Here is a 27,206-nt window from a genome sequence, read left to right as displayed (position 1 = left end):
GTCCCAGCTGGCTAGCTCCGAGTGTGGAGCGCTCTGGGCCGGGGCCGCTGGGGCGCGCACAGTGGGGTGACAGGCGGCCTGGCTGCAGAAACGTTGCACCGGTGCCTGAGGTGGGAGGATGTGATGACGCGGCCCACGCAGCGGGAACCCAGGCCTTTAAAAAGCCCAGGAAACAGCCTCAGCTCAAGCGGTGGCTCCACTGGAGGAAAACACACCCCGGTCTCACATTAAAGAAGCCAAACTGTCGGCTTCAAAGAGAAAAGGCAACATCCTGTCACAGGCCATGCTCTGGCAAAAACGTAAGTGGTTTGGCTGTGGCTGTCAGACCCAAGCGAGTGCCAGCGGGGCAGGGCGATCACAGCTTGGTCTGGAATTGGGGAGCTGGTGGTGGAGGTGATGGGGCCACGGGGGGAGGGGGTCTGGGTTCCAAGCCCCGGAGCAGGGAGGGGGGAGGTGGGCGGGATGGAGCCTGGTGGAGAAACCAGCCTGTCAGAGGTGATGCTGATTTTCCAGGCTGGAGGGGAACGAACTAGTGTTCCAAGGTGGGACGGCTCAGGGTACCTCCGCTTCTGTGCATGAATCACTGTGGTGAAGAAAGGGCAGTTTATGATTCACACAACAAAAGCCAGATGTGGGATGGGTTTGGGGTTGGGAGGGAAAAGCCATGCAGTTCTTTACAGGAGGGGCTTTATTTCCATAAGCAGTGGCTCTTCAGCCTTCTGTTGAATTCCCTGGGCCTGTTTCTAGCTGAGTGACTTAGCTTTCTGCCAGGTGTGACTTGTCCCTGTGGATACCCTGGGAGGAGTGGAGATCTGGCTCGGTGAAGCGTGTCCTCACTTGCTCCACTGTCTTGCCTTTCGTCATTCTTTTTCCCCTTCTGTGACAAGGCTTGTCCATCCCACTGCAAAGGATGCAGTGGGTTTATCTTTGGCCTTGATTTTTATCCCCGGAGTTGGATGAAACAATTGTGAACTTTATTTTCCTTTATGTGGACCAAACAGCGACTTACCTTACTAATAACTGAAATAATACAGATTATTTACAACATTCTTTTCACGAGGTAAACAGCGTCAACTCATCAGCTTCTGAGAGTTGAACCTTATTGGGGCTAGTTCTATACTTCCTCAAGCAAGAAGAATGACCAAAAATTGCTCTGTCTTTCTCTTAAAGATTCTTGGTTCCTTAAAATTCGTTTTAATTAATTTTAGTATGCTGTGCCTCAAGCAAGCTTAATATAAGAGAATCTAGATTTACAGAAGAAGATATATTAGGGAATGTTTTTATTTTATGGAAAGATACTTGATTGGATCCACTAAAGTTCGGAAAATATAACTTCATTGATTAAAATGTGACACTGTCATCACCAATTTATTGTTTGCTTTATGTCTTATGTAAATTTCTCTGGAATTAAGCTGATTAACCAGTAACACAGAAGAGTGATTTCAAAATTTCTCAGGTTGTGAAGACCCACCATTGTTTGATATCAAAAGGTCAATTTTTTAAAAAAATAAAGAGAAATGAGCTTTAATTTGGGTTTGAGAGTTATGGACTCCTTCCAAGATAACTAGGAATATTCAAGAATTGTTGGCACGCCACTCTTCCCAACAGGCGATGGAGCAGCGGCAGCCTATCCTTTCTGGGACAATGGCAGCTGACCCTGTTGTGAGTGCTGTGTGGATGAGAGCAGGTGGGCATTCATCTTTTTACTGGGGGCCCCTAAGCATCTGTGTGCCCTTTCACTCAGGGCTGAATCATTTGATTTTTGTGTGAGCCCCTGGAAGGAGTTTTGCCTCAGCTCCTACCTTCTATGAGCAAGCCACTTTCCTTTTTCTCAATCCTTAGGTTTTTTGTATGTTAAGTGGGGGTAAAAATCATATCCACACTGAGGATCTATCCTTAGTAAGTGAGGTGCCACCGAAGTCATGTTCATTGCTCTGTCTGCATCAGCCTCTGAGATATGAGTTGCTTCCCTGCATTCACCATCTGCCATATTCTCCCCTCTTGGTTCTGTAGTACATTTTTTCATTTCTAATTCCTTCTAAGAGATGAACAGACTTTTTTTGTTTGTTTGTTTGTTTTTTGAGACAGAGTGTTGCTCTGTTGCCCAGGCTGGAGTGCAGTGGCGCGATCTCGGCTCACTGCAACCTCTGCCTCCTGGGTTCAAGTGATTCTCTCGCCTCACCCTCCCTAGTAGCTGGGACTACAGGTGCCCGCCACCACACCCAGCTGTTTTTTTTTTTTTTGTATTTTTAGTAGAGATGGTGTTTTACTATGTTGTTCAGCCTGGTCTCGAACTCCTGGACTCAAGTGATCCACCCGCTTTGACCTCCCAAACAGGTGTGAGTCACTGCACCTGTCCCCCAAATTTTTTAAAGGGGATGCTGGAGGGCATGCTTCCTGCTCACACCCTGGAGACCAGTCAGATAGATCAAAACTCCATTGTAAGGGAGACCACATTGTAAGCTCATCAATGGAATAACTGGGGTGAATGTTTCCACATGTTCAGATGAACACAAATCAAAATTATCTTGAATTGTCCTTTAAGCCTTAAAGGAAAAGTAGGAGAGACCCTGGGCTCTGGACCCACCCCCTTAGCCTGAACCCAAGTATGTGGTATAGAGGGCACCTGGGTGACTAAACCGTGTGGGAAAATCAGTAAAAACAGGGCAGCATGTCAGCCCACTTAGAGTCACCCGATGGAAGGGCAGGGTTTGAAATCAGACACCAAGAGTGCTGAAAGGGCACTTTCTTTTTTCAGAAAACACCCTCGAGGCATGAGCTGAAATGACTGTACTATGGGGTTCTGGAAAGGGTTAAGAAAACATTCACTTTGTGAATGTTACCTCCTCCCTACCTAGCCCATGACCCTAGTTTGTGGACTAAATGTGAACCCTGGCTTTTGGTTAAGATTAGAGCATAAAGTGACAAAGCCCAGAACTGCTGGCACAGAGAAGTAGAAATCTTCAAGCCCCAACCAATGGATTTGAGATTTGCTTGATGGGCCAATTGGATGAAGAAGTCACTCCATCTGTAGATTCTCTCCCTGGGTTCTGGACTTGGACCTGCTGGTCAGGTGCACATGTGAAGAATTACCATCCCTCCCCAGCTAGTAACAGTGTAGTGGAAATAGCAGGAACCTTGGAGGGAGACAGGTCTGAAAGTTGCCTGTGCAACTTAGTTCTTTCTTTGTGAGAAGGAAATTTCCATTCATTTCCTTATCTGGGAAGTGGGGATTCTAATGTCTGCCTCCCAAGGTTTTTGTGAGAATTAAAGTAGAGAATGTAGGTAAAATGATAGCAAGTTTCCTGATAAGTAGTGGTAGGGATGAGTTAGTACCTTCCGTCCTGGAAACCACCTGTGGGCCCATCTTGAATGATCAGTGTTATGTTAAATTCATATATTCTTTTCCACACTTTGATTAGAATAGTTAAAAAGCCACAGTCTAAATATTCTTGGGTGATAGGATATTGCAAAATTTTCCAAGGGTCTAAAATAGTGGTCTGCAAACTATGGCCTCTGTGCCAAATCAGGCCTGCCACTCCATTTGTAAATAAAGTTTTATTGGAACACAGCTCTGTCTATCATTTGAATATTGTCTAGGGCTGCTTTTGCAGAGTTGAGTAGTTGTGACAGAGACTGTGCAGCATACAAAGCCTAAAATATTTTCTCTCTGGCTTATAATAGAAAAACATTGCCAACCTCTGGTCTGAGATGATTTGCTTGGTTCTTCAGGCATTCATTTCCTTAAGATACTCAGTATCAGGCCGGGTGCGGTGGCGGGCGCCTGTAATCCCAGCACTTTGGGAGGCCAAGGCGGGCAGATCACGAGGTCAGGAGATCGAGACCATCCTGGCTAACATGGTGAAACCCCGTCTCTACTAAAAATACAAAAAAATTAGCTGGGGTTGTGGTGGCAGGCCCCTGTAGTCCCAGCTACTCGGGAGGCTGAGGCAGGAGAATGGCATGAACCCGGGAGGCGGAGCTTACAGTGAGCCGAGATCGTGCCACTGCACTCCAGCCTGGGGTACAGAGCGAGACTCCGCCTCAAAAAAAAAAAAAAAAAAAAAAAAGATACTCAGTATCCTGGGGTTGTACATTGCCAACACCAATGGGAAATAAAACTTGCAGCCAATTCATTAAATAATTTGTACAATGCCCCAAACTGATTTGATTGAATTTCTTCCTTAAAAGTGATAGAACTGTGTATAATAAACTGAACTCCATTTGTTAGAAAGTGAACAAATTGGACAGTTGCTTTTTATTGTTGTTGTTTGTATTAGGGAACAATCTACATGCTAATGAAAGGCAGGCTTGACTGATTTTCTTTGGACTGGCTGATTGTCTTGGTGTCCTGTGGACTTGGCCTTGGAACAGGAAATAATTCGTATCAGATTATTATGTCATGGATATGCCTTTGCTTTCAGACAACTTGAACAGAGCAGAGATTTAGCAAACAGAAAAATTAAGGACTTAAAATTCTCATCAACATAGAACTCTGCTCTTCAGATGTACTCTAGGGTTCCACTAAAGAGCCAATATTGTTTGGGAGGCAGTTAAAGATAAGTAAAATGTGTACTATGCATATAATTTTTGGAAGCCTATCTCCTACATAAATTTAAGCACAACTTACAATGAGAGGTAATTTAGGTTTCTGGACAACCTCTAATATTTCTATTCTATGTTACAACCTTTGCTTATTTAATAAGCCTAGTGAGCACCTTTACTTCTTACCAAGTTGATTCCATTGATTCAGCAGTTCTTTTTTTGAGATAGAGTCTTGCTCTGTCACCCAGGCTGCAATGTAGTGGTGCAAGATCAGCTCACTGCAACCTCTGCCTCCAAATTCAAGTGATTCTCCTGCCTCAGCCTCCTGTGTAGCTGAGATTATAGGCACATGCCACAATGCCCAGCTAATTTTGCATTTTCATTGGAGATGGAGTTTCACTATGTTGGCCAGGCTGGTCTCGAACTCCTGACCTCGAGTGATCCACCTGCCTTGGCCTCCCAAAGTGCTGGGATTACAGGTGTGAACCACCACGCCTGGCCAATTAAGCAGTTCTTGCTGTTAAGGGCAAGTAGAATCCAAAAGAGAGACACAAATTCACGTGCACTGTCTGGAGGTGAAATAAAGGACAAACATCAACCAAATACACAGATTTAATTGGTAAAAAAGCAGATGATGTTCTTGATGGATATTTTACTTCCTGCCCCTTATATTTATTTACTAAAGAAAATGCCAGATTTGTCCCCAAAGTTACTGACTCAGAAGTTTTGAAAGCTCTCTCCCAATTCACACTTGGGATTCTGTTCTTTCATGAGGAACCAAAAAAAAAAAAAAAAAAAATCAAGTTTGCCTACAGCTGTTCATTAAATATGTGGACATTTAATTCATAAAGAAGTCTTATAAATATTTGCTTTTAACTTTCCCATTACAAAGTGTTTTTTCCCCCTTTGACATCTTTCTAAAGTAGTTTATCTTCCCACTTAATGAAGATGTCCACCTATTTCTTATTCTGAGCCAACCAAACCAAAGTTGGCTAATTGATTATGAACATTAACATAATTCTCACCTTTATGAAATGCTTAATAACACTCTAGTTTTCTCATTTTTGTAGAACTGCTTGACAACTAAGTGAGCCTACCTGGGATGGGGAGGCCTTCTCTGAAACCCTCTTGTCCCGCTTGTGTGATACTGGGGACAAGCACTTGTAGGCAGGAGCCAGGGGTTTTACTTTCCATTCTACAGATAATTAGATGAGAGACCTTAAGCAAGCCACCTAACCACTTTGGGTCTCAAATGTTCTAGTGCTGGAATGGAACTTGCCTTTTCCTGGCTAATTTTCCTGGAGATTGAACTTGATTGAGGTTCTTTGCCAGCTCTAATTGCTGAGTTTTCCTGAGTGTTTATACAAAAAATAAATTAAAGTTTAAAATCAGAAGTCCTTAATTTAATAGATGGGATTCTTCTATCTGCTTAGGGCAGTGTTTTTATACCTTGGCTACACACTGGAATGCTCTGAGGAGATTTAAGAAACACAGATGCCTGGATCTCAACCTAGAGCTTCTGATTAAATTGTCTTGGGCATTGAAGGAGAGCTGCAAATGGCTCCCAGGTGAGAAGGCTGAGAACTGCTGACCTGGAGGTTGAAATGGATGGCTTCTAATAAACCTTTGGGCATTGCTAAGAGCAGAAGAATGCTCAATCCTTTTAACAGTGATAAACAAACATCTCTGGGGAATGGAGAACTTATTTGGTGCTATGCAGTATACAAAATGTTCTGTTGGATCAGTTTGGATTACATTTGATTGCTGGTGAAGAGACCTGAAATAACGTAGATTTAAGTAAGACAGTGGTGTCCTTTCTCTCACATAAAAGAAGTCCACAGTAGGGTGTTCAGGATCTTATGGAGTCTCACAGTGCCAACATCATCCCAGGCTCCTTTTTCCTTTCTAATCTGCCATCCTTGGCATGTGGCTCTTGTCCTCAAGATTTTTTTCATAGTTGCCATTGTAACTCCAGCCATTACATCTGTGAGCATCACATCTTCGGACAAGCAAGAAGAAGAAAAAGGAATAGCAAAAGATCATGCCTCCTGATCGCTGCCCCTTCTCCCTCCCAACACACAACTTCTGCTGACATCTGATGCCATTTCTATCTACAAGGGAGAATAGCATAATTGTTTAGCTGGGCACATTGCCACCCTCCATAATGCAGGGGCTGTTAGAAAGGAAGGGAAGGTGGATGTTGAGTGTAACAACTGCCAGTCTTCACTATGCTTTGAGTGCATTATCTCATTTAATCCTCATAAAAACTCCATGAAGCAGATTCTGTTGTAAGGTTCATTTTATAGATGAGGAAACTGAATCATGAAGATTAAGTTAGTAACTCTCCTACAAAGCAAAATTCATGTGAACAGACCTCAAGTGTTGGCCTGCTAAGCTGTCCTGTCTCCCTGCCACAGTGCCTGTCTCTCTCACATTGCTTAGGAAGTATTCTTGGTAAAAGCACAGGCCTTCCATGTCAGATAAGGGACCAATGGCAAAAAAAAGCCCTGCAGATGGTAGTTCATACCATGAGAACCCATTTTGTTTAACATTTACTTCAGCTTACCTGTTGAAGAAAACAAGGTCTCTGCTTGCTGCTGGGCCTCTTCTGCGGGACAGTTTGAAGATATTTTAGCTATAATAAAAGGCTCAGAGAAGGATCTAGAGTTTGCCCCCAAATAACCCAGCCCTACTCTTTTCTGGGCAGTTTTAGTAGAGAGCCCGATGTAGCAGGCAGCCTTTGCTGGGAGCCAAGGCTTCTGCCTCCGTGGCACTTCCTTGATTCTGAACTTTCTAGACTTTGGAAAAGTCAGGCTGCTCCTTCATCTCTCTCTCTCTCTCTCTCTGTGTGTGTGTGTGTGTGTGTGTGTGTGTGTGTGTGTGTGTATTTGTGTGTGTTTAGGTGGGGTGTGGAGAGTAAGATGTAGAGAGTAGGGTTTAACTTTGAGTTAGAGAGTGACACTTCTGTTCTTTCTTTGCCTTTAGTAGTTAAAGCTTAGCTTCTGGGGCAGGCAGATCTGAGTTTGAGTCCTAGGTTTATGCCTTACTGGTTGTGTGACACTGGTAAGTCCTTTTTCCTCCTTCTGCCACCATTTCTTTATAGGCATGCACCAGAGGTGTGACTCTTACCTTATGGGATTGTGGTAGGGGTTTTCTGCTGTGCTTGGCATTAAGTAAACACTCAATAAATATTAGTTGCTATTATTATTTTCCCATTCTGTCACAATCTACCTCTGAAGACAAAGGTTATGCCGGCTAATTTTAGATTACAATTTGTATGTCCTCTGAGTTCTGAATTTCTTGTGAAATGGCAGGGCACACATCTCCAGTCTTGTAACTTGTGGTGGGTTAGTGATCATGGTTACTTCTGATGATTAATCTGACCATTCTGTGATCAAACTTGGAACTCGCGTCACAATTTTCCTACCGACCTTGTAAGGTAGGGTGGCGGCAAGACTTGTACTGACTGGCAAACTCGTGTTTGTTTTTTTAATTCACAAGATTGGACTGAGTGTTTGTAATCTAGTTGTGAGCAGAATGACACTTGAAATATGCAAGAAATAGATACCGAAAACTGAAACAACAATGTGTGGCCTCCTTTTCTTAGTAACAGTTTCATTAGTACCACTTTCTGGGAAGAGCTGGTCACCAAAAGATTATAAACCAGAATCATTCTCAGACCAGGTGCTGGGACAAAAAAGGATTTGACCAGTCTTAAACTGAATTACTTTTTAATGCACTAGAAAGAGCCATACATTTCATTGGAAGACAGCAAGCATACAGGACATTGTTAAAACTTTCCAGGACTAGGAAACGCTGAGGTGACAGAAAGGAAAGAAAAGAAGAGAGGCAAGAGAGTTGACAATAGAAGCAAGTCTTAATGTTGGATGAAAGGTACACCAATTCAGGAAGGAAAGGTATAGAAGGAAAATCAACCATCTATTCATCATCCCATGCAGGTATGCATCCCTCTAAGCATCCATCCAATAATGGAATTATTTCCAGCTAGAGAAACCAACCAATGAAATAAATTATCTTCAGCAGAAGGTGGGGATGATGGAATCAGGGAAGGTGTCATGGAACATATAGCATTGGGTTTGGATCCTGAAGAATAGATGGTAATCAGACTTCTTGCTTAGATCCTGGGGTGTGCAGATGCATCTTAGGACATAAAATATTAGCACTGGGAAGAAAATCCAAGGATTTTAGGCTGATGTCTATAACATTTTTGCTACAAACTCCCTTATTCAAACCAAATCTACTGTAGAACTTCAGTATAAGAATAAAAATCGTGCGGTTTTGGGGGGCTATCTGGAGCTCTGATTGCTCATGTTCCCCCACATTTCCCTGCCATTCTCACTCTGTTGGCACCTGCAGGCACCATAACTATATTCCAGGGTTCTTCAGGTCACAGCTGGATCCCCCTGACCTGGCCAATCTACCCCTCTTTTTAGCAAGATCCCTGCTAGCTGGTCACAGAGAGTGGCAGTGAGTGGCTGTGAAACATATTGCATTGGTCTTCATCAAGCTCTGAAGCTGTGAAGACTATGTGTTCGGTCTTTGTGGGTCTCTTGTGAATAAAGAGGAGGTAAATTCCTAAAAAACTGACCAAGTGACTTCTTTCTCAGGCTTGATACTAACAACCACTCCCCTTCTCCAATGTCTTTCATAAAGGAATCCCTTGCATCATGAGGGCCATTGGTTAGCAAAGCTGAACATTATCCAGAAAGCTCCTCTTGACCAGCTGTGATGTTTCTCATGAATCCATTGTTAGGGCTACTCTCACTTGCGAAGGCTACACCCCAGGCCACCATGAGCCTTGGAACTTGGGCAGTTGGGTCTGACCCCAAATACAAAACTAATGCTGGGATCTGAAGAGTCCATTCTCCAAGAAAGTGGTCCTTACATGATGGTCTCAGGAAAAGTTAAGTTTTTTCAATAAAGCTCTTTAGTCTTGAAAAGCCAAAATTAGATATTGCTTGAATCAAGGAACAAAAAATCGGATATCCATCTGCCTCCTCCAGCTGCCTAACCACAGGTTATTCCCATCCTAGCTCAGATGGGCAATTCTAGATTCAAGCCTTGATCTAATAAGGAAAGAGACAGCCCTTTCCTCTGCTCCATCCCTCACTATGGTACTGCCTTGCTATAGAATTGGGGTGGCCACTGGGGTAGGTGGACTCTCCTCATTCACCTTCTGGTCTGGGACGGTAGGTCTGGAGCTCTGTTTAGGCCCTTTCTCTTTCCTGATGCCCCACTCTCAGCAAATTTGAGGCAATGCCAAATATGTAATCCAGGAATCTGCTTTGCTCTACAAGGTGATAAAACTCCCATCTATGGGCACTGAAGAGCCCTCCCTTGCCCATTGCCACATTTCTATTCCATATGCGATATGTGCTCCTAGGTTTCTAGCCCCCTTGAGGGAGTATCTACAACATAGCCTCAGCCATGGCTGTGTCCCTGGCCTTTAGGAGATACATATAGGTTCCTTAAGGGGCTGCATCTGAGGTCAGGACAAGGGAATGCCATCATACTCTGTCTGCAACCTAATCGCTGCCATTCAAAAATATCCAAGGTTTTTCATTTCTGAAGTCATACTTTAAAAACTCACATCTGCTGCAAACCTAATCCTCTGGTGACTTCTAAAGAAAGAAGTCTTCTGCTCAGCTCATCGTATCTTTATAAAAGGCCATTTCCAGGGTTTGGCGTCTCCTGTCTAGGATTGCTGTACGAAAGCGAAGTCTTTTACCAGCCCCTCTGCAGCATCATTGGCTTCCCTGTCTCCTAAGTAGGGGTATCTTGCTGCCTGGGGATTCCAGGTACCTGAGGGATTAATTCCAGGAGCATAATGAAGGCAGGTAGAGACAGGCCTGGCAGGCAACAGAAGGCCCTGGGTATGCTGAAGACAGAGACATTCAGTATCAGGATGTAGCTGAATGGAGGCAAGTTAGGGTCACTGTACCAAGGCTACTTCTCCGATGACAGATGGGCCATGGATTGTTGGCTGAGATCAAGGAGAAAGGGCTATTTGTTGGGAGCTCATTATGCACCAGGTGTTTCATTGTGTTAATCTCATACAGTTCTCATGATTACCCTTTGAGATGGATATTATTACTTTCATTTTGCAGATGGGGAAACTGAGGCACACAATGGTTAAGTGATTTGCCAAGAGTCACACAGGTGATAAGCAACATAACAGGCTTTCTAAACTAGGTCTAGTCCCAAACTGTACCACACTGCTTCTCAATGACAAGGATTTTAGTGTTGCACTGGGTCCTTCTTCCTCTCCCAGTTGAAGAGGGCCCTCGCTTAGATGGAGGCAGGTTATGACTTCATCAAGGGTAGCTCTAGCCTGGCACAAAAGCCTCTGCAGATTTGGATCTTAGCAAGTCACGCTCGAGACTCAGTATGGAAGCTCTGAAACCTACTGATTTCCATCTTAGAATCTGAGTTCCCTGGACTCCTCTTCTCTTGGTGGGCCAATCAGCCAAGATAGGATAGGACCAGCTAGTGACACACCCTTAGGATTCACTCAGGACCTGCCACTTAGAGTGTCTGGGACAAGGGTCTGCTCATGGTGAGGCCTGAGTCTCTGGCCCCAGACCAGCCCCTCTGCACTGGAGATCCAACAGTCATATCTCTTGCACTCACCTCTATACAGTCTCTACAGACTTGGGGCCCCAGTTTGCTGCTTGTTCAAGCCTTACTAAACCAGGTGTAGGTGGAAACCAACCAAACAAACCAGAACCACTTCAGTTCTGAGGCAGATGCAGCTCTGTCACAGTTTGTAATTCTAAATTTGTTTGTGCAATTATTTGATTAAAGTCTGTGTACCCCACTAGACTAGACTGTAAGCTCCAAGAGGGCAAGAACCTCATCTGTTCTGCTCAGCAAGTACTTGTTCAGTGAATGCTCTGCCAGGGGTCTCTTGGTCTTGTCCCCTACCCTGGGACACAGTGTATCTGCGAACCCTTTCTGCTCCGGTGACCCCAGTTTCTGTAAAAGGCAGGCAGATGCAGCTGCTTTCTCAGGTGGACCTGTCCGCTGTCATTTCAGTCGAAAAATACCAAAAATAAAACCTTGCGGGGAATTGTTTGGGTCTCTCAGTTCTCGTCACTCCTCATGTGAGAAGGCTGCTGACAAGGTTCTCGTGGACAGATCTCTCCTCTCTTGGCTGGGCAACACCATTTCTTGGGGAAATTGGCAATTGAGGGAGACTGGATCAGGGTAGTCCAAGCCCAGACTTTAACTGGAGCAAGGAGGGTTAGGATGGGGCCAGGAATCATTTGATGATTAACCTGCAGTGTCGCTCAGAGAAAAAAATGGGACTTGCTCGGGCAGAGACAAGGCAGGCAGTGAGGCAGAAGTGGAGTGTACTTGGAATCACAGGTCCTGGGCTTGGTTGAGGACACTGTTACTTACAAGTATAGTCGTTTGGCAAGTCACTGAATATCTCTGAGCATCAATTTCCTTCTCGGTAAAGGAAGGGAGCGGAAGAGGAATACGTTGTACTGAGCCTCTATCTGCAATCATTAGTGTCAAAATCTCTATGGAACATCATGCAAATAGGAGTGTGGTGATTTCAGAGCTCCCAAGAGTTAAGAATGTGACCAGGAAACACATGGACCTTTACCACCCATTCATTCAACAGACCTGAGTCCCTGGGAGCAGAGAATGGGTACAAACAGCCTTCTGTGCTTGACCTGATCTGCAGGAGGCTCAGAGGAAGGGAGGTGTGGTGTGGAAGGTGCGGAGAGTGCCGGGGAAAGGATCCCTGGGAGTCTTGCCTGTGAGGGAAGGGTTAGAGGGCCACTGCCACGTGGAAACCTCTCGCACTCAAGGCCTTTGGCTGCCCCTACCTGCGGTTGTGGGGCGGGACACCCAGAAGTTTAGGGACAATCCAAGTAATCCTGAGGCCTTAGGGTGTAAATGCTCAGGTCTGAGCTTGGTGGAGAAGGGTGGTCTTCTGTGGGTCAGTGGGATCTTGACTTCAGCCTAATACAACCTAGAGGGATCCCTGTGACTGCCCTGGGGGTCCATTTCCTGTTGGCTATGACCTCTGTTAAGTAGGAATCACTTGGCCCCTAGACCACTTTTGTCTGGGGCTCTGTGGCTCTAAGACTGAAAAACCCTCTGCTGTCACCTCCAACATACTTTAAGAGTGTCCCCTGGGTCTCGTTGTCAGGGCTCTTCTTTCTAGGTCCTGGTGGCTTGCCTAGGTCTGGGGAAATTCTCAGTGACCGTGGACCCTGGTTCAGCCTTTCCCAGGGGACCTGCCTATGGTTGATGAGTGAGATCTTCAGGGCTGATGGGAAGGAATAGTCTTTTAGAATGAGGACACAGGGAGGGCACATGTCACTGTCCCTTTATCTTCTCCACCCAGACCAGAGAACGTGAGGTCAGCCACCATCTTTGTGATCTGATACAGACATCCCAGCCTACCAAGCAAGATATTACAACTTATTCTTCAGCTGTCCAGCAGCCTTGCAGGCAACATCAAATTGTACATCAATCATGGTTCCCCTTTCTCTCATGTCTTCCAACCACCTTTAACGTCAGTTTTCTCCCCCTGCTGTCTTTTTCTCCTCTGTCCTGGGTATCATCCAGATTGCAGGATATATGAGTGATGTGTTTATAATTCCTGGCTGCAGGATCCTCTCAGTTCAAATGTTAGTGAATGGAAAGTCTGCGTTTACATGCATATGGGATTTCTTTGTTGGCCTACATTAAACACCAACAACAAAGGTCAACTAAAATATAGTGTAAATGAGCGGGAAAGCCTTTCTGTAGTGTGTCAAGTCCAACCTTTGGCCAAAACCCAACTTCTTTCTTCCTGTTTGGAAAAAAAATCAGCCATTGTCCATGAATGGAAAGAACAAATTTGAAAACTTTGACTCAGACCGTAACTGTAAGAAAAGCACCCACATTAGTGTTCCAGTTAAAGATGTGAATAATCCTTTAGCCAACTGGAGTTAATGTTCTCTAGAAGTCCTTGGGCCACAAGTACAAACAAAATTCTTTGCATGAAAATGTAAACAATTCTTTTTTTTTTTTTTTTGAGATGGAGTTTCGCTCCTGTCGCCCAGGCTGGAGTGCAATGGTGCGATCTTGGCTCACTGCAACCTCTGCCTCCTGGGTTCAGGTGATTCTCCTGCCTCAGCCTCCTGAGTAGCTGAGATTACAGGCTCCTGCCACCGCACCCAGCTAATTCTTCTATGAAAATGTAAAGAATTCTTTATACGAAAGTGAAAGGTGACAACGACTATTGTGACTTCATTTTCAGTTAGAAGCCAGGGCAAGTTTGTTGGCCATAGTCTTGAATTCCTATTGTTTGATTAGTTTTGCTACAAATAAAGAGAAAATCGTATTTCTTCTCAGTGGGGTTTTTTTTCCTTGAAGATTCAACAGCAGAAGATATTTCCATTGATTACTTAGAGTGATCAACAGTGTGTCACTATTAACGGTGTGTCACATGTCCTTCTGGGCTAGGGGCTTTTATCTTGCAAAATGGCCTTGTACGGCTACAAGGTTTACCTGTTGTTTAGGTAAGTTCCTAAAAAATTGACCAAGTGACTTCTTTCTCAGGCTTGATACTAACAACCACTCCCTTTCTCCAATGTCCTTCATAAAGGAATCCCTTGCATCATGAGGGCCATTTGTTAGCAAAGCTGAGCATTATCCAGAAAGCTCCTCTTGACCGGCCGTGATGTCTCTCATGAATCCATTGTTAGGGCTACCCTCACTCACATAGGCTGCACCCCAGGCCACCATGAGCCTTGGAACTTGGGCAGTTGGGTCTGACCCCAAATACAAAACTAATGCTGGGGTCTGAAGAGTCCATCCTCCAAGAAAGTGGTCCTTACATGATGGTCTCAGGAAAAGTTCTGTTTTTCATAAGGCTGTCTTTGGTCTTGAAAAGCCAAAATTAGATATTGCTTAAATCAAGGAACAAACAACTGGATATCCATTTGCCTCCTCCAGCTGCCTAACTACAGATCATTCCCATGTTATTCCTATGCTAGATCAGATGGGCAATTCCAGATTCAAGCCTTGATCAAATAAGGAAAGGTACATTCCTCTCCTCTGCTCCATCCCTCACTGTGGTGCTGCCTTGCTGATTTGAGGTTCAACCAGTCAGTTGTGAATGGAGAGTACTCTCAGTAGGTGAGATGGTGGGACGGAAATGCATGCTTATCCTGCAGCCCACCTCGCCATTAGAGCAACTCTCTTAACTGTTATCCACCCTGGTGCCTGGCCCTGGCAGCTCATGGGACGTCACAAGAGGACAATGGCTGGGAGAAGGACCTTCTCTCAAGGGTGCCTTGGAGGCTGTTTTAGGGAATGAATGGCTTCTGACATGGGCTTTCTTAAAGTTGCCCCAGAAGAGAAGTTACCATTGACCAGGCCCTAGGTGTTTGCTTAGCTCAGAGCCATCAGGAGGGTCTTAGCTCCTTAGATGAGCAGCTCCTGCACTGTGGTGTGAACGTGGTTTGCAAGGTGCCATTAAATAAACAAGTGCTGACAATTTTGCATGTTTCCTGGGTGATATTTTATTATACTTTCATCAAGGAACTGGAGCACCATATTTATTTAAATCAGTACACTCCATATGTTCCTAGCTTGGTGCAAAGCAGGCACAAATGTCCACATGCAGCCAGGGTGCTGACTGAGGTGACCAGTTTGCTTGAGTTTTCATACTCTGCACTCTCCAGTGGAACAGCAGCTGCAGGACTCTTATTTTTGTGATGTGGAGCATGTCTGGGTGTGTGGCAGGGGGAACTGAAATAGTCTCTGCTGACTTTTTGTACCTACAGATTTTGTTTCATTGCTCATTTTGGAAAAGGGAAGCCCTTATAGGGGCCAAATTAATGGTTTTTCTGTAAATGATTTTTTTTCCCCCTCAAACTCCATTGGCTTGACTTCCAGTGGTATAGAAAGGCAATATGGTGAACTTCTCAGCCCGAAAAAGGAGATCTCCAATCAGGGCCGAGAGGCTCATGCTAAGGTGGAAAGATTTTCCTCCGTGATGGACTCTTGGATACCTACGGGAGACTTAAAAGGCCCTCAGACCACAGGATTAATGGTGAGAAAGCTTCAGGCTTTGAGGGTGAACTACTTGGAGTTACAAGTTAATCGGGAGCTTATTAAAATCTCTGGAGAACTCTACTGTGGGAAATTGGGCTTCTATCTTCTCTGCTGATATCTTATTATTTCAATCTCCTGGTTTATTTTCTTTGGATTTTTTATTATGATTTTAAGAAATTATTTAAAAAGTTAAAAATATTTCTTTTACGTATTCCAGTTTAGTTGTTTTGAAGTTAATTCAGGGATCCGGGATCCCCAAGGTGAGGCAACCGTGATTTTAGACAAACTTTTTTCCTCTCCCAAATTTGTATTTGTGGGCTCAGTTCTCATGCTGGTGGCAGTAGGGAGCTCAGTGTTTACTGTGGAATTAAAAATGTTTATTGTTGCTGCACATAGGTTGGTGTGAAAGGTACCAACTGCAAGTTTCAACTTGCAAAAACACTTGGCCGTTGGGCTCCTTTGGAATCGTCTTGAAGCTTCAGATTCTGATATTTCATGAGCACTTTGCAAAGTCACTATGAGAAGCACCCTCCTTCTTACCTGCTCAGCTGGAGTCAGTTACAGAATTCCTTGGCAGCTGGCTGTGGACACGTGCCGGGCAGTCAGGAGACCCGTGGGAGCTGTGGGAGTCCTGCAACGTCAATAGGAAGAGGTGGGGACTTAGAGATTGCCCCACATATGGTCTGTTGTGCCAGGGCACACCTGTTGACACTGAGTTCCAAGGAAGTCCAGACATTAGAGGGTGATACTCTCTGTCCACAGCACCTCCACCAAGCGCTCTTTGTTCATCGACTTAGAAACAGTAGGAGGCGGGAAGCCCTCTCTTGACAAGATCCTGGAAGTGGCCAGCTGGTCCCTTTCCAGCCAAGTGTGTGGTGTGTCCACTTCCTGGGAGGGACTGGGACCAGGAGGCCTCTGAGCCCTTCCTCAGAAGTGTACATGCAAACAAGAGGGGGCTGAGCCATACACCTGTCTCTGAGATGGTCTGAGATATGTGCATATGGGATTGAGCCCTTCTTGTTCCTCAGCTGAATTAAGAGGGTGACCACAGTGCTCAGACCCCCCCAAGTAACCCCATTTCCCAAATTTCTCTTGAGTACACAATGCCTCAGACTGTACTTTATGCCTAAGGAATAGCTGAGAACCCAACTGAAGACAAGTGTGAACTGCAGGATATGGTTGTGAACAGAACTGACGTGTGCAACAGCATGGATGGAACTGGAGGACGTTATGTGAAGGGAATAAGCCAGGCACAGAAAGACACAATTCTCATGTTCTCACTTGTATGTGGGAACTACAAATTCACACAATTGAATTCATGGAGATAGAGAGTAGAATGATGGCTACCAGAAGCTGGGAAGGGCAGCAGGGGGAGTGGGAGTGGGGATGACTTATGGGTACAAAAATATAGTTAGATAGAATGAATATGATCCAGTATTTGACAGCACAACAGGGTGACTATAGTCAACAATAATTTATGGTACACTTAAAAATAACTAAAAGTATAATTGGATTGTTTATAACACAAAGAGGTGACAAATGCTTGAGGGGATGGGTGCTTTATTTACCCTGATGTGATGAGTGTGCATTGCATGCCCGTATCCAAATATCTTGTGTACCCCATAAATATATACACTGACTATGTACTCATAAAGATTAAAACCAAAAATGCTGACGTGGCCATGGGGTGACCCTGAGAAAGAGTGAGTTGAGTGTGGCAGGGCAGGTGCCCTGTTCGCTGACACGTCAGATTGTACCTGGGGCCTGTGGTCATCGCTGGGCACCACCCAGCAGTAGGGAAAGTGGCAAATGGAACTTGTGCAAGAGTGACTCACCCAGAAGGAAGGTGGGGAGACTAAAACCATGTCATTTAGAAATAGCTGAAGGAATGAGAAGTCCCTTCAGACCTAGGGGGACACCTGGTATCTGTCCTCAGATTTCGGAAGGGAATATTACTACTAATACTCATGATAATCGGAGCTCACATGTATTAAATGCTCTGTGCCAAACTCTATTCCAAGCACTTCACATGCAAATCTTAAATTACCCTACAACATACATACCATTATGATCTTCACTTTATAGATGAGACAGCTGTAAATGGACTAAGAAATGTGAGTTTCATTAGAAGGTAATGGAGGGAAATATGGCATGTGTTACCATAAGTTAGCCTCAGTAGGAGGAAGAGCTGTCTGACATGATAATATCCCCCCGAAAGGAAGGTGGAAATGGCCAGAAGGAAGATAATTAAAACCACATGTATTGAGCATCTACCCTATGCCAGACATGGCCTTTGGAGCTCCCCATGTATTATTTTGGTTAATCCTCACAACCACTGTGTGAGAGAAGAATTATTATTCCCGTTTTACAAATGAGGAAATTGAAGCCCAGAGACATTAAATAAATCTAAGAACTTTCCACCAGTAAGTGACAGCCCAGATTTGAATACAGGTATGTGTGGTTCTCAAGTCTACTGTCATTGGTGTTCAGAGCAAAGGTGGAGGCGCACAGGTGGCCCCGGGGCACAGAACCAGGCTGGTTCCCCTGCTAGACACTCCTATAGCAGCCTGAATTTCACAAGTTGTGACACATTCATCTGCTGGTAACTTTTGTTGCTTGTCTTCCCCGTTAGACTGCAAGATCCACGTGGGCGGGGGCTCCATGGGTCCTGTGCAGTGCTGTACTCCTAGGCACTAGAAATATTTGAAAAAATGAATGAATACCAGTAGAGATCTCTTGTTCAGACAGGGGAAGTTAAAATAAGGATAATGAATCTCCTATTGGGATGTTATCGGGAGATTCTTATGTTAAATTAGGAATGGATTATCAGCAGTTGTAATCCCAGTATATTTTCAGAAATACTGGACAGATTTTTTTTTTTTTTTTTTGAGACAGAGTCTCTCTCTGTTGCCAGGCTGGAGTGCAATGGTGTGATCTCAGCTCACTGCAACCTCCACCTCCCAGGTTCAAGCCATTCCCCTGAGTCAGCCTCCCAAGTAACTGGGATTACAGGTGCCTGCCACCACATCTGGCTAATTTTTTGTATTTCAGTAAATATGGGCTTTCACCATGTTGGTCAGGATGGTCTTAATCTCCTGACCTTGTGATCCACTCACCTCAGCCTCCCAAGAGAGATTTTTATACATACAGATTCCTAGGCCTATATCAGCCCCCTAGAATCAGACTTTCCTGGAGCAGGACCTGTACCTGTATATTGCATCATTTCCTGGTTGATTTGCTACCTGGCCAGCTGAGGGACCTTGGAGGATGGGTCTAAAGTCCACCTGAGATACTGGGATTCCTGACCCCCAACATCTGCCCCTGGGACTCATTTCCCACTTCCTGTTGCCTCTGCCCAAGCTTCTCTCTGCCTTCTGGGCTTCAAGGCCAGGCCTTGCTCGTGGCTGGAGCCTGGAGGGAGGTCTGGTGCCGAGTCAGGCATGGGACCTTATCAGCTGGGTATTTACTGAGCAAAGTTCAACCAGGGCAGTGCTGCAGATCCGGGTTTAACAGATACCTAGGCTTCCGGGACTTTGATTCAGAGCCCAGGTCCCTGGGGCCCTTATCGGTGGATAATAATGGGCTCCCTGTGGAAGTCCTAAGGTCTAGTGTTTCTTGGCTGACCCAGGCCTGCTCTCTGAGAGCCCAGGATCCCTAGGCCACAGGCTGTCTAGGTGGGCAGCTTGTTGCTTCCCAGCCACGGCTGCTTTTCAGTTGCTCTCCCAGGCCAGGAAGGGCCCTATGCACTGGCTCTTATTTGGGTCAATGCTTTGGTTTCCTGGCTTTGATGGCAAGAGGGGAAGGAAACCTTCCCTCAGCAGCAGGTGGACACTGTCTGGCCCCAGGGTACAAGGATCACCCTTGGGTAATTGTCCCATGCCCTGAAAGTCACTGAGAACCTGGGAGCCACTTGCCTCAATCCTAAAGGTGTAGGAGAGGTGAAGGGAAGACAAATGGCAGCATGTCTTAAAGAATCACCCAATCGATTAATCAATAAGTATCAACTGAGCTTAAAACGCATGGGCATGCCACTGGGAAGACATAGAGAAATAAGGTACAATAACTCACCTTGAGACGTTTATAATCTAGTTGTGGGTATAAGACACTTCCATCAAAAAGAATAACTATTACATAATAGACTGAATTTTTTTGAATGCCTACCCTGTACCTGAATTTATTTGAGGCATATACTGTTCTACCAATTTCCCACATCAAGTGACTTCTCTCAATATTCCTTTGATAAAGAAACTGAAGATTAAGAGGCACAGAGAGGTTTAGTAACTTGCCCAGGATCACACAGGAAGGTGGTGGCAGGGGCAGGATTTGAGGCCTGTGCTATCTGGCTCAGAGTCCCTGCTCTTATGGCTGTCCTCTACTGCCACCTATGATGAATACTAATCAGATCTGGAAATGTTTGAGAAGCTGTAGAATGTGGAAATTACTCAGGCTGCAGGGGTCAGGCAGGAGGGTTGCATTTGTCTTGTGTCAGCAAGAATCAAGAGGTTGGAAGAAGTGAGAGGGAATTCTGACCACGGAAAACCTCAACCACAGATGAGGAGGTGAGACACGCAGGAACACGTAGAGAACACAGACAGACCTTCTGGTTGGAGACAGGGTTTGTGTAGTAGGGAGTGTGCAAAGTGGTGAGAAAAATGGGTTCGGATCTCATTCTGAAGACTGTCCAATTCTAGGACAAGGAGCTGGGCCTTCGTTGTCTGGGTGCAGGGGACCCACAGAAGGTTTGGGAGTAGGAGGAGTGACAATACTGGAGAGGCATTCTAGGAAGTGTCACGTGGTTCTCCGTGTTCAAGCACGACTTAGGGGAGCAGGCAGATCCATGAGGAAATGAGCACTTTGGGGTGGGGGCTCGTCTGAGAAGGACCATGGGCTCCAGGGACATTGCTTTTCACAGCCACAGCTCCGGAGCAAGCCCCAGCCCCGGCCCGGCCATACCAGGGCGTCCGTGTGAAGGAGCCAGTGAAGGAACTGCTGAGGAGGAAGCGAGGCCACGCCAGCAGTGGGGCAGCACCTGCACCTACGGCGGTGAGAGTTTGTGTGTGTGAGAGTGTGAGTGTGTGTGTGTGAAAGAGAATGTGTGTGTCAGGGATAGTGTGAGAGTGTATGTGTGTGTGAGTATGTGTATGCGTGTGTGTATGTGTTTGTGTGTGATAGAGTGTGTGAGAGTGTGATAGTGTGAGAGAGAATGTGTATCTGCGTCAGTGTGTGAGAGTGTATGTGTGTGTGAGGGAGTGTGAGTGTGTGAGTGTATGCATGTGAGTGTGTATGTGTTTGTGTGTGATGGCGTGTGTGAGTGTGTGATAGTGTGAGAGAGAATGTGTATGTGTCAGTGTGTGAGAATGTATGTGTGTGAGAGAGTGTGTGTGTGTGAGAGTGAGTGTGAGAGTGTGAGCGTGTGTGTGAGAGAGTATGTGTGTGAGGGAGTGTGTGTGAGAGAGTGTGTGAGTGTGTGAGAGTGTGAGTGTGAGAGTGTGAGAGTGTGTGAGAGAGTACGTGTGTGAGAGAGTGTGTGTGTTTGTGTGAGAATGTGTGTGCGCGCAGGCAGATGGCTTGGGAGGTGACCAAAAGGATCAGGCAGGAAGGAGCGCAGGTCCCTTGGTGGAGGCTGCCAGGGATAGAGCTAGGGTGGAGCAACTGGGATGAGGGATCAGGGCCGGCTCAGCTGGCCCACCGAACACAGCTACTGTCAAGGCCTGAGTGAGCGAATGACTTGCATACCCTGGTGTGAGTTGGGGGCCCCCCCTGAGAAGAAGAAGACACCAGCTCCCTGAGCGCACAGACTTCCTGCTAAATAGAAACGCAAATCTCTCAAGTGTAGGTGGTGATGGTTGGGATACGGGGTGGGATGTTTTGTTCTAACCAGAGAGATTCCTATCTTCTATTCTCCTGCCCTGAGGCCCTCTGGGCAAGTTCTCTGCACAGGGCCGGTTGACGAGGGCTAAACATTGACCCTGGTCTTCTCCTCTCCCCTCTAGGTGGTGCTGCCCCATCAGCCCCTGGCGACCTACACCACAGTGGGTAAGAGTGCCCCGTAGCCCTGGTGGCCCCCAGGCCTCTCATCTGGGTGGCATCTGAAGTTCTGTAATTTCCTTCTTCCCACAGGTCCTTCCTGCCTGGACATGGAAGGTTCTGTGTCTGCAGTGACAGAGGAGGCTGCCCTGTGTGCCGGCTGGCTCTCCCAGCCCACCCCGGCCACCCTGCAGCCCCTGGCCCCATGGACACCTTACACCGAGTATGTGCCCCATGAAGCTGTCAGCTGCCCCTACTCAGCTGACATGTATGTGCAGCCCGTGTGCCCCAGCTACACGGTGGTGGGGCCCTCCTCAGTGTTGACCTATGCCTCTCCGCCACTCATCACCAATGTCACGGTATGTCACACAAAGGCAGGACTGCACCCGCCCATGCTGAGTGCACCCTTTTATAACCAGAGCTGACTTCTCGATCCTGATCTTCCTTGCTATTGATTCTCAAGATAATCAGGTCATCAGAGCTCGCCTTGGTCTCCATGGAGGCCTGCTCTGATTCTCATTTCCTGAGATAACTTCCACAAAGATGTCTCGCAGCCTCTCTCGTCATACTTTCTGCTCCTCAGGACTGGGGAGGTCTTCTCTGATTCCCTGTTCTAAATCTCCCCAGCTTCCCTGCAAGCAGTGAGTCTTGGTTCTGAGTTGAAGTTTTTAGTGAATGTGGCACCAGGCGAGATCTACATGGGGTCTTGTGTTGGAACTAGCCTTTCATTTCTATTCAGATAACTTAGGGAGTGATTGTTCACTTAATAATGGGGTTTAACAGAAGATTTCTAGGCTGAACAACAGGTGATATTTTTGATGGTGTCAGACCCACGTGTGGGGTAATTTTTTAAAGTTCTGTCTCTACTGTCAGATTGCCTTGTTCAAATCCCTGTCCCTTCACTTACTAGCTATGTGACTCTGGGTTTAGTGACTTAAAACTCTCTGAGCCTCAGTGTCCTCATCTGTAAAATGGGAATACCAAGAAAAGGGTCGTTGTCAGGATCAAATGAAATAATGAGTGTGGAGGGCTTAGCACAGTGTCTGGCATACAGAAACCACTAATATATGTTAGTTATCATCATATCAAAATCTGCTAACATTAACCAAGGGCTTGATGGGAAAGGAAGAGCCTCTTCCCCCGGGAATGAAGGAAGGAAGGGAAATAGATTTATGTTAATGATTCCTGTTCGACTAAAGGACTGGGAATTTTGCAAGTATTCAAGGGCAAAAAGACCTGTGGTTACAGCTGTATCCAGCTCCAGTCCAGGGAAACCGTGGGAAGTAGAGCTGGGCCTTGAGCAGTCCCAGAGCCCACCTTCGATGGTGGTGCTTGCTTTGGTCCACCTTGTCTCTTCCATTTCCCTCCAGGGTCCAGTGTCATCCTGATGCACCTGCCCCTGCCTCCAAGCACCTTCTATGAAAGGCCTGCAGAAGCCCTTCCCTCCCAGGTCCACCTGCCTACCCAGCAAACCAATTTTGGAGCCTGGATGATGATAGATAAGAAGGAGTTAATCCAACACCTCTCCCAGGCAACTCATTTCCATGTCAGAGGCCTGGGGTGAGGGTGGTGGGTGGAGGACTCACGGCTCCCACCCATTTCATTACCAAGGATTCCTTTCATTATTTATCCCCTTTCATCATTCCCACCTTCTGCTTTGAAAGGTTCTGTATATCAAACAAACAGTATTCATTAAGAATTGATTTATTTGTTTTGCCATTTTGTAAATTAAGTCATCAAAGCTGGCTAGAGCTGTAAGTCCACACTCCTGATCAGCAGAGATAAGACCTGCTGTGTGCTGAGTGGAAGTAATTGTATTCCCGAGCAAAGAAACCTATAGTTACAGGTTTATGACTGGGAAATGTAGAATTTCCATCTGGATTTTTGAAAAGCTGGGAATCATGAGGCTTTCCCGGATTCTGTCTGGTTTCAGGACACTGGGATGGGGACCACTGGCTTAAGTCAAAGGAGAGGAAGTGATTATGCTGTGGTGGGGTGTACACCTCAGCCCGGATTTCAGGAGGCTGGAAGGCCTCTGAGACCATTTCCAGCTCTATCATTCTGTGCAAAAACACCCTAAAGCCTTGCTACTCAAACTCTTGTCCCTGGACTGGCCACATTGGAGTCCCCCTGAGATCTGATTAGACATGCAAAATCCCAGGCCCCACTCTAGACTTCCTGTGCCAGAAGCTGCGTTCTAACAAGATCCCCAGGAGGTTGAGAAAAGCCCTGCCCTAAATGATTCTAACAGTTTGCTGTCAAGACACAGTGACAGTAGGAGGGATATATGACAGGGGAGACAGGGATGGTAGGGGGAGATTTTGGCCTCCCTCTCATGAATCCATGCAGAGAGCATCCTCTTCTATCTGCTTTCCTCAAGTGTGAAAGAAAAGTAAGAATCCAGGTCCCGCCCCTGTTGCAGGCCTGATCTGAGGTTTGTGAGGGCAGTCGCCGTGCAGGTGAGAGGTATGACTCGCAGAGCATTCAGGAGAAGGACTCTAACACTTGGAGGGTCATGGGGGGTGCCCATAAGTGGGATGGCCATGGAGATCAGCTCAGAGACAGAGGACGATGAGGATGTGGAAGGCACCAGGCAGCAGCAGGAAGGAAGGCCAAGTTTGCTGACAAAGCAGTGCTTCCCCCATCTGGGGATGGCCAGGCCTCCCCATGCTGGCCACCACTAGAGGGGTGGGAGGTGATGGAGCTGTGTTGGCCCAAGGGGACCTCCAAAGCTGTTGTGTGGAGCCCGGACTGTCTTTGTGTCTGGGCAGGACAGTGGCCACCTTCCAGATACAGCTTCCAGGCTGTGGTTTAACATATATTTTCACAGATTTTAAGATGCATATATTTTTAATGTTTTAAGATCTCTGAAATAGAAATGAATTTTGTATTCAACGAAACCTGGAAAATCCTCTCTAATTGGCCTAACCCAATGAGTTCATTACTGTTTGTATTCTATTTCGTAGATGAGAAAAATGAGCCTTCTGAGCAGGAAGTGGCCTGAGCAAAGACATATAGCTAGGAAGGGTCAGGATTGGGGCTGCGGTTGAAGTCAGCCTGGCTCCTCCCTTGGGGAAGACTTTGAGCAGGAGGAGGTGGAGCCCCATGAAGTGAGAAACCAGGAAAGGGCAGAATTGAAGGGGGAGATGGAGACCCCTCTAAGGGCAAGGATGGGTGGATGGGTCTCCTGGGGCTGCTAACCCTCTGTCACGTGTTTTCCTGTCACAGACAAGAAGCTCCGCCACGCCCGCAGTGGGGCCCCCGCTGGAGGGCCCAGAGCACCAGGCACCCCTCACCTATTTCCCGTGGCCTCAGCCCCTTTCCACACTACCCACCTCCACCCTGCAGTACCAGCCTCCGGCCCCAGCCCTACCTGGGCCCCAGTTTGTCCAGCTCCCCATCTCTATCCCAGAGCCAGTCCTTCAGGACATGGAAGACCCCAGAAGAGCCGCCAGCTCGTTGACCATCGACAAGCTGCTTTTGGAGGAAGAGGATAGCGACGCCTATGCGCTTAACCACACTCTCTCTGTGGAAGGCTTTTAGGCGTGGCTCCCACCTGAGTCCTGTTCCCTGAAACTGGGATTTTAAAATGAGCCTGGAATTGAGCCCCAGGTTCATGCTTGTTTGGAGTAGTCATTTCATGACTACACTTTCTACGCACAGCTAGAATTGTAGACCTGTAAACCTTCCTTCCCTTCTTCCTTCCCCTCCCTCCCTCACTTCCTCCCTCTCCCCCATCCTTCCATTCTTCCCCTCCCTCCCTTCTTCCTTTCCAACCCCTTCCTTCCTTTTCCTCCCTCCCTTCCTTCCCTCCTTCCCTTCTCCCTTTCCAACCCCTTCCTTCCTTTTCCTCCCTCCCTTCCTTCCCTCCTTCCCTTCTCCCTTTCCTTCTTTACCTCCCTCCCTCCCTCGCTTCTTCTCTCTTTCTTACTTCTTTTTTCAATTCTGTTCCATTTTGGGAGGTAATTATAGGGATTTTAGCAATAACATTTTATGTCAAATGTTGCCAAGTCTGTGGTCCATGGGCTTTCATTTCTGTCACATTTCATTTCTTGGAAAAGGCCTCCTTCCTCCAGTGCCTGCTGAACCATCTTAGGGTCACTCACACCCTCTGTAATTTTAAGATGTATGTGGTGGCCGGCGGGAAGACCAGCCCCGACAGCACCTCCTGAGAAAGTCAGCCAAGGGCCTACCCTGATGCCAGAGTCCTTGAGCTGTCAGTTCCCACAGTTGCTCCTTTGTTTGCTCTTCTCAGCCTCGGCCAGATTTACAGTCCAGGCAGCAAAATCTCAAGGCCTGGGGCTCAGAGTAGTAAGGGGTGGGAAGTGGGTGGCAGGGAGAAAAGAACATCAGGGTGGGTGGGGACAGGCCAGTGACGAAGAGAGGGACAGAGGAGGGATGGGAACAGGCTGTGCATCTTAGTTGGAGAGAGGGGTGTGGGAGGAAGCTTGAGTTTGATGCAGGGAGGAGGAAGGCTGAGGAATGACTTGGCTCCAGATTACTTGGTTATTAAGAAGAACAATAAACTAAAGGAAAGCATTGCTTGAAGAGATGGTTTTGCTGCTCTCCTTGAGGATACGTGCAAGGGAAGTTGGGCTGTTGTAAACAGGGTGAAGGGTGTGTTTGGTCGGCCATTTCTGTCTCACCTCTAGGCCCTCTGCTGGTGCTGTGGAGGCCAAGACCCCATTAAGCCTAAAGGTGATGGGTCCTCGCCTAGGCTTAGTGCTACCATGTGGGTTTTGTTTCTTTCCTTCCTTCCTTCCTTCCTTCCTTCCTTCCTTCCTTCCTTCCTTCCTTCCTTCCTTCCTTCTTTCCTTCCTTCCTTCCTTCCTTCCTTCCTCTCTCTTTCTTTCTTTTTTTTGGTTTTTTTTGGGACGGAGTCTCACTCCATTGCCCAGGCTGGAGTACAATGGTGCGATCTTGGCTCACTGCACCTCTGTCTCCCAAGTTCAAGTGATTCTCCTGCCTGAGCCTCCCGAGTAGCTGGGATTACAGGTGCATGCCACCATGCCTGGCTAATTTTTGTATTTTTAGTAGAGACGGGGTTTCACCATGTTGGCCAGGCTGGTCTCGAACTCCTGACCTTGTGATCCGCCCGCCTCAGCCTCTCAGAGTGCTGGGATCACAGGCGTGAGCCACCGCACCCAGCCTTTTACCATGTGGGTTTCTTTAGTGTCTTAAAAGCGTCCATAAGCCACCATTCTGTGGAACCAAGGCCCCCTCCACGCAAACACCCTCCCTCCTGGGGACCTCTGGAGCCTCAGCCAGAAGTACCATTAGGTTTAATTTTAATTTGTTTTGCTGGAGAAACATCAGGTTTGTAGGAGACTGAGTTGTTAGCAGGTGTGCTTAGCTCTTGATAGTGAACGTGTACCTTGGGAACTGGCTCACCCACCTGCTAATAGCACCATCGTCACTATTAAGCAGACATTTCAGTTGGTAGAATCCATGTAGAAGTCATGGACTTTTCTGGGAAATGACTTTTCTGGGAAATGACAGTTTCTTTGACATATTTTCTTTGCCCACTTTAAATAAAAACTCTGGAGAAA

General features: G+C 46.5%; 1 protein-coding gene across 6 annotated transcripts, besides 5 other annotated features; it reads left to right on the top strand.

Moving 5' to 3' along the window:
* Nucleotides 186-27,206, top strand: POU2AF1 (POU class 2 homeobox associating factor 1). Of its 6 annotated transcripts, none has more exons than XM_005271593.3 (7): nucleotides 186-299; nucleotides 15,472-15,628; nucleotides 16,027-16,282; nucleotides 20,543-20,673; nucleotides 21,624-21,666; nucleotides 21,751-22,016; nucleotides 24,886-27,206. In XM_005271593.3, exons 3-7 carry the CDS (start codon nucleotides 16,126-16,128, stop codon nucleotides 25,198-25,200), a joined length of 912 nt encoding a protein of 303 aa, XP_005271650.1. In that variant the 5' UTR covers nucleotides 186-299; nucleotides 15,472-15,628; nucleotides 16,027-16,125; the 3' UTR covers nucleotides 25,201-27,206. The 6 variants fall into 6 exon arrangements, with proteins under 6 accessions (XP_005271650.1, XP_006718923.1, XP_006718922.1 ...); XM_006718860.5 differs by having other exon boundaries at nucleotides 23,028-27,206; XM_006718859.2 differs by lacking the exons at nucleotides 15,472-15,628; nucleotides 16,027-16,282 and adding an exon at nucleotides 1,609-1,687.
* Nucleotides 210-259: an enhancer, noted in NCBI's record as "active region_5508". NCBI's record gives its function as "activates an Ori minimal core promoter by ATAC-STARR-seq in GM12878 lymphoblastoid cells {active_cell/tissue: GM12878}" and the evidence as "EXISTENCE:reporter gene assay evidence [ECO:0000049][PMID:35858748]".
* Nucleotides 11,586-11,745: an enhancer, noted in NCBI's record as "active region_5507". NCBI's record gives its function as "activates an Ori minimal core promoter by ATAC-STARR-seq in GM12878 lymphoblastoid cells {active_cell/tissue: GM12878}" and the evidence as "EXISTENCE:reporter gene assay evidence [ECO:0000049][PMID:35858748]".
* Nucleotides 19,883-20,177: an enhancer, noted in NCBI's record as "tiled region #2637; HepG2 Activating DNase matched - State 5:Enh". NCBI's record gives its function as "activates a minimal TATA promoter and a strong SV40 promoter by Sharpr-MPRA in HepG2 cells {active_cell/tissue: HepG2}" and the evidence as "EXISTENCE:reporter gene assay evidence [ECO:0000049][PMID:27701403]".
* Nucleotides 20,938-21,784: an enhancer, noted in NCBI's record as "H3K4me1 hESC enhancer chr11:111228402-111229248 (GRCh37/hg19 assembly coordinates)". NCBI's record gives its function as "activates a minimal SCP1, AML or CMV promoter by ChIP-STARR-seq in primed H9 embryonic stem cells {active_cell/tissue: H9 hESC(primed)}" and the evidence as "EXISTENCE:reporter gene assay evidence [ECO:0000049][PMID:30033119]".
* Nucleotides 26,212-26,261: an enhancer, noted in NCBI's record as "active region_5506". NCBI's record gives its function as "activates an Ori minimal core promoter by ATAC-STARR-seq in GM12878 lymphoblastoid cells {active_cell/tissue: GM12878}" and the evidence as "EXISTENCE:reporter gene assay evidence [ECO:0000049][PMID:35858748]".

This window comes from Homo sapiens, chromosome 11 (assembly GCF_000001405.40).
Source record: "Homo sapiens chromosome 11, GRCh38.p14 Primary Assembly".
NCBI lineage: Eukaryota > Metazoa > Chordata > Mammalia > Primates > Hominidae > Homo > Homo sapiens.
Note: the sequence above shows the minus strand (reverse complement) of the source record. Positions and strands in the feature narration are given on the sequence as shown.

Excerpts from the sequence above, each read along its gene's own strand:
- POU2AF1 (XM_005271593.3), top strand. The coding sequence starts at position 16,126 with ATGAGCACTTTGCAAAGTCACTATGAGAAGCACCCTCCTTCTTACCTG. Across the intron at positions 16,283-20,542 it reads TGCAACGTCAATAGGAAGAG|CCACAGCTCCGGAGCAAGCC; the intron begins GTGGGGACTTAG and ends TGCTTTTCACAG. Across the intron at positions 20,674-21,623 it reads CAGCACCTGCACCTACGGCG|GTGGTGCTGCCCCATCAGCC; the intron begins GTGAGAGTTTGT and ends TCTCCCCTCTAG.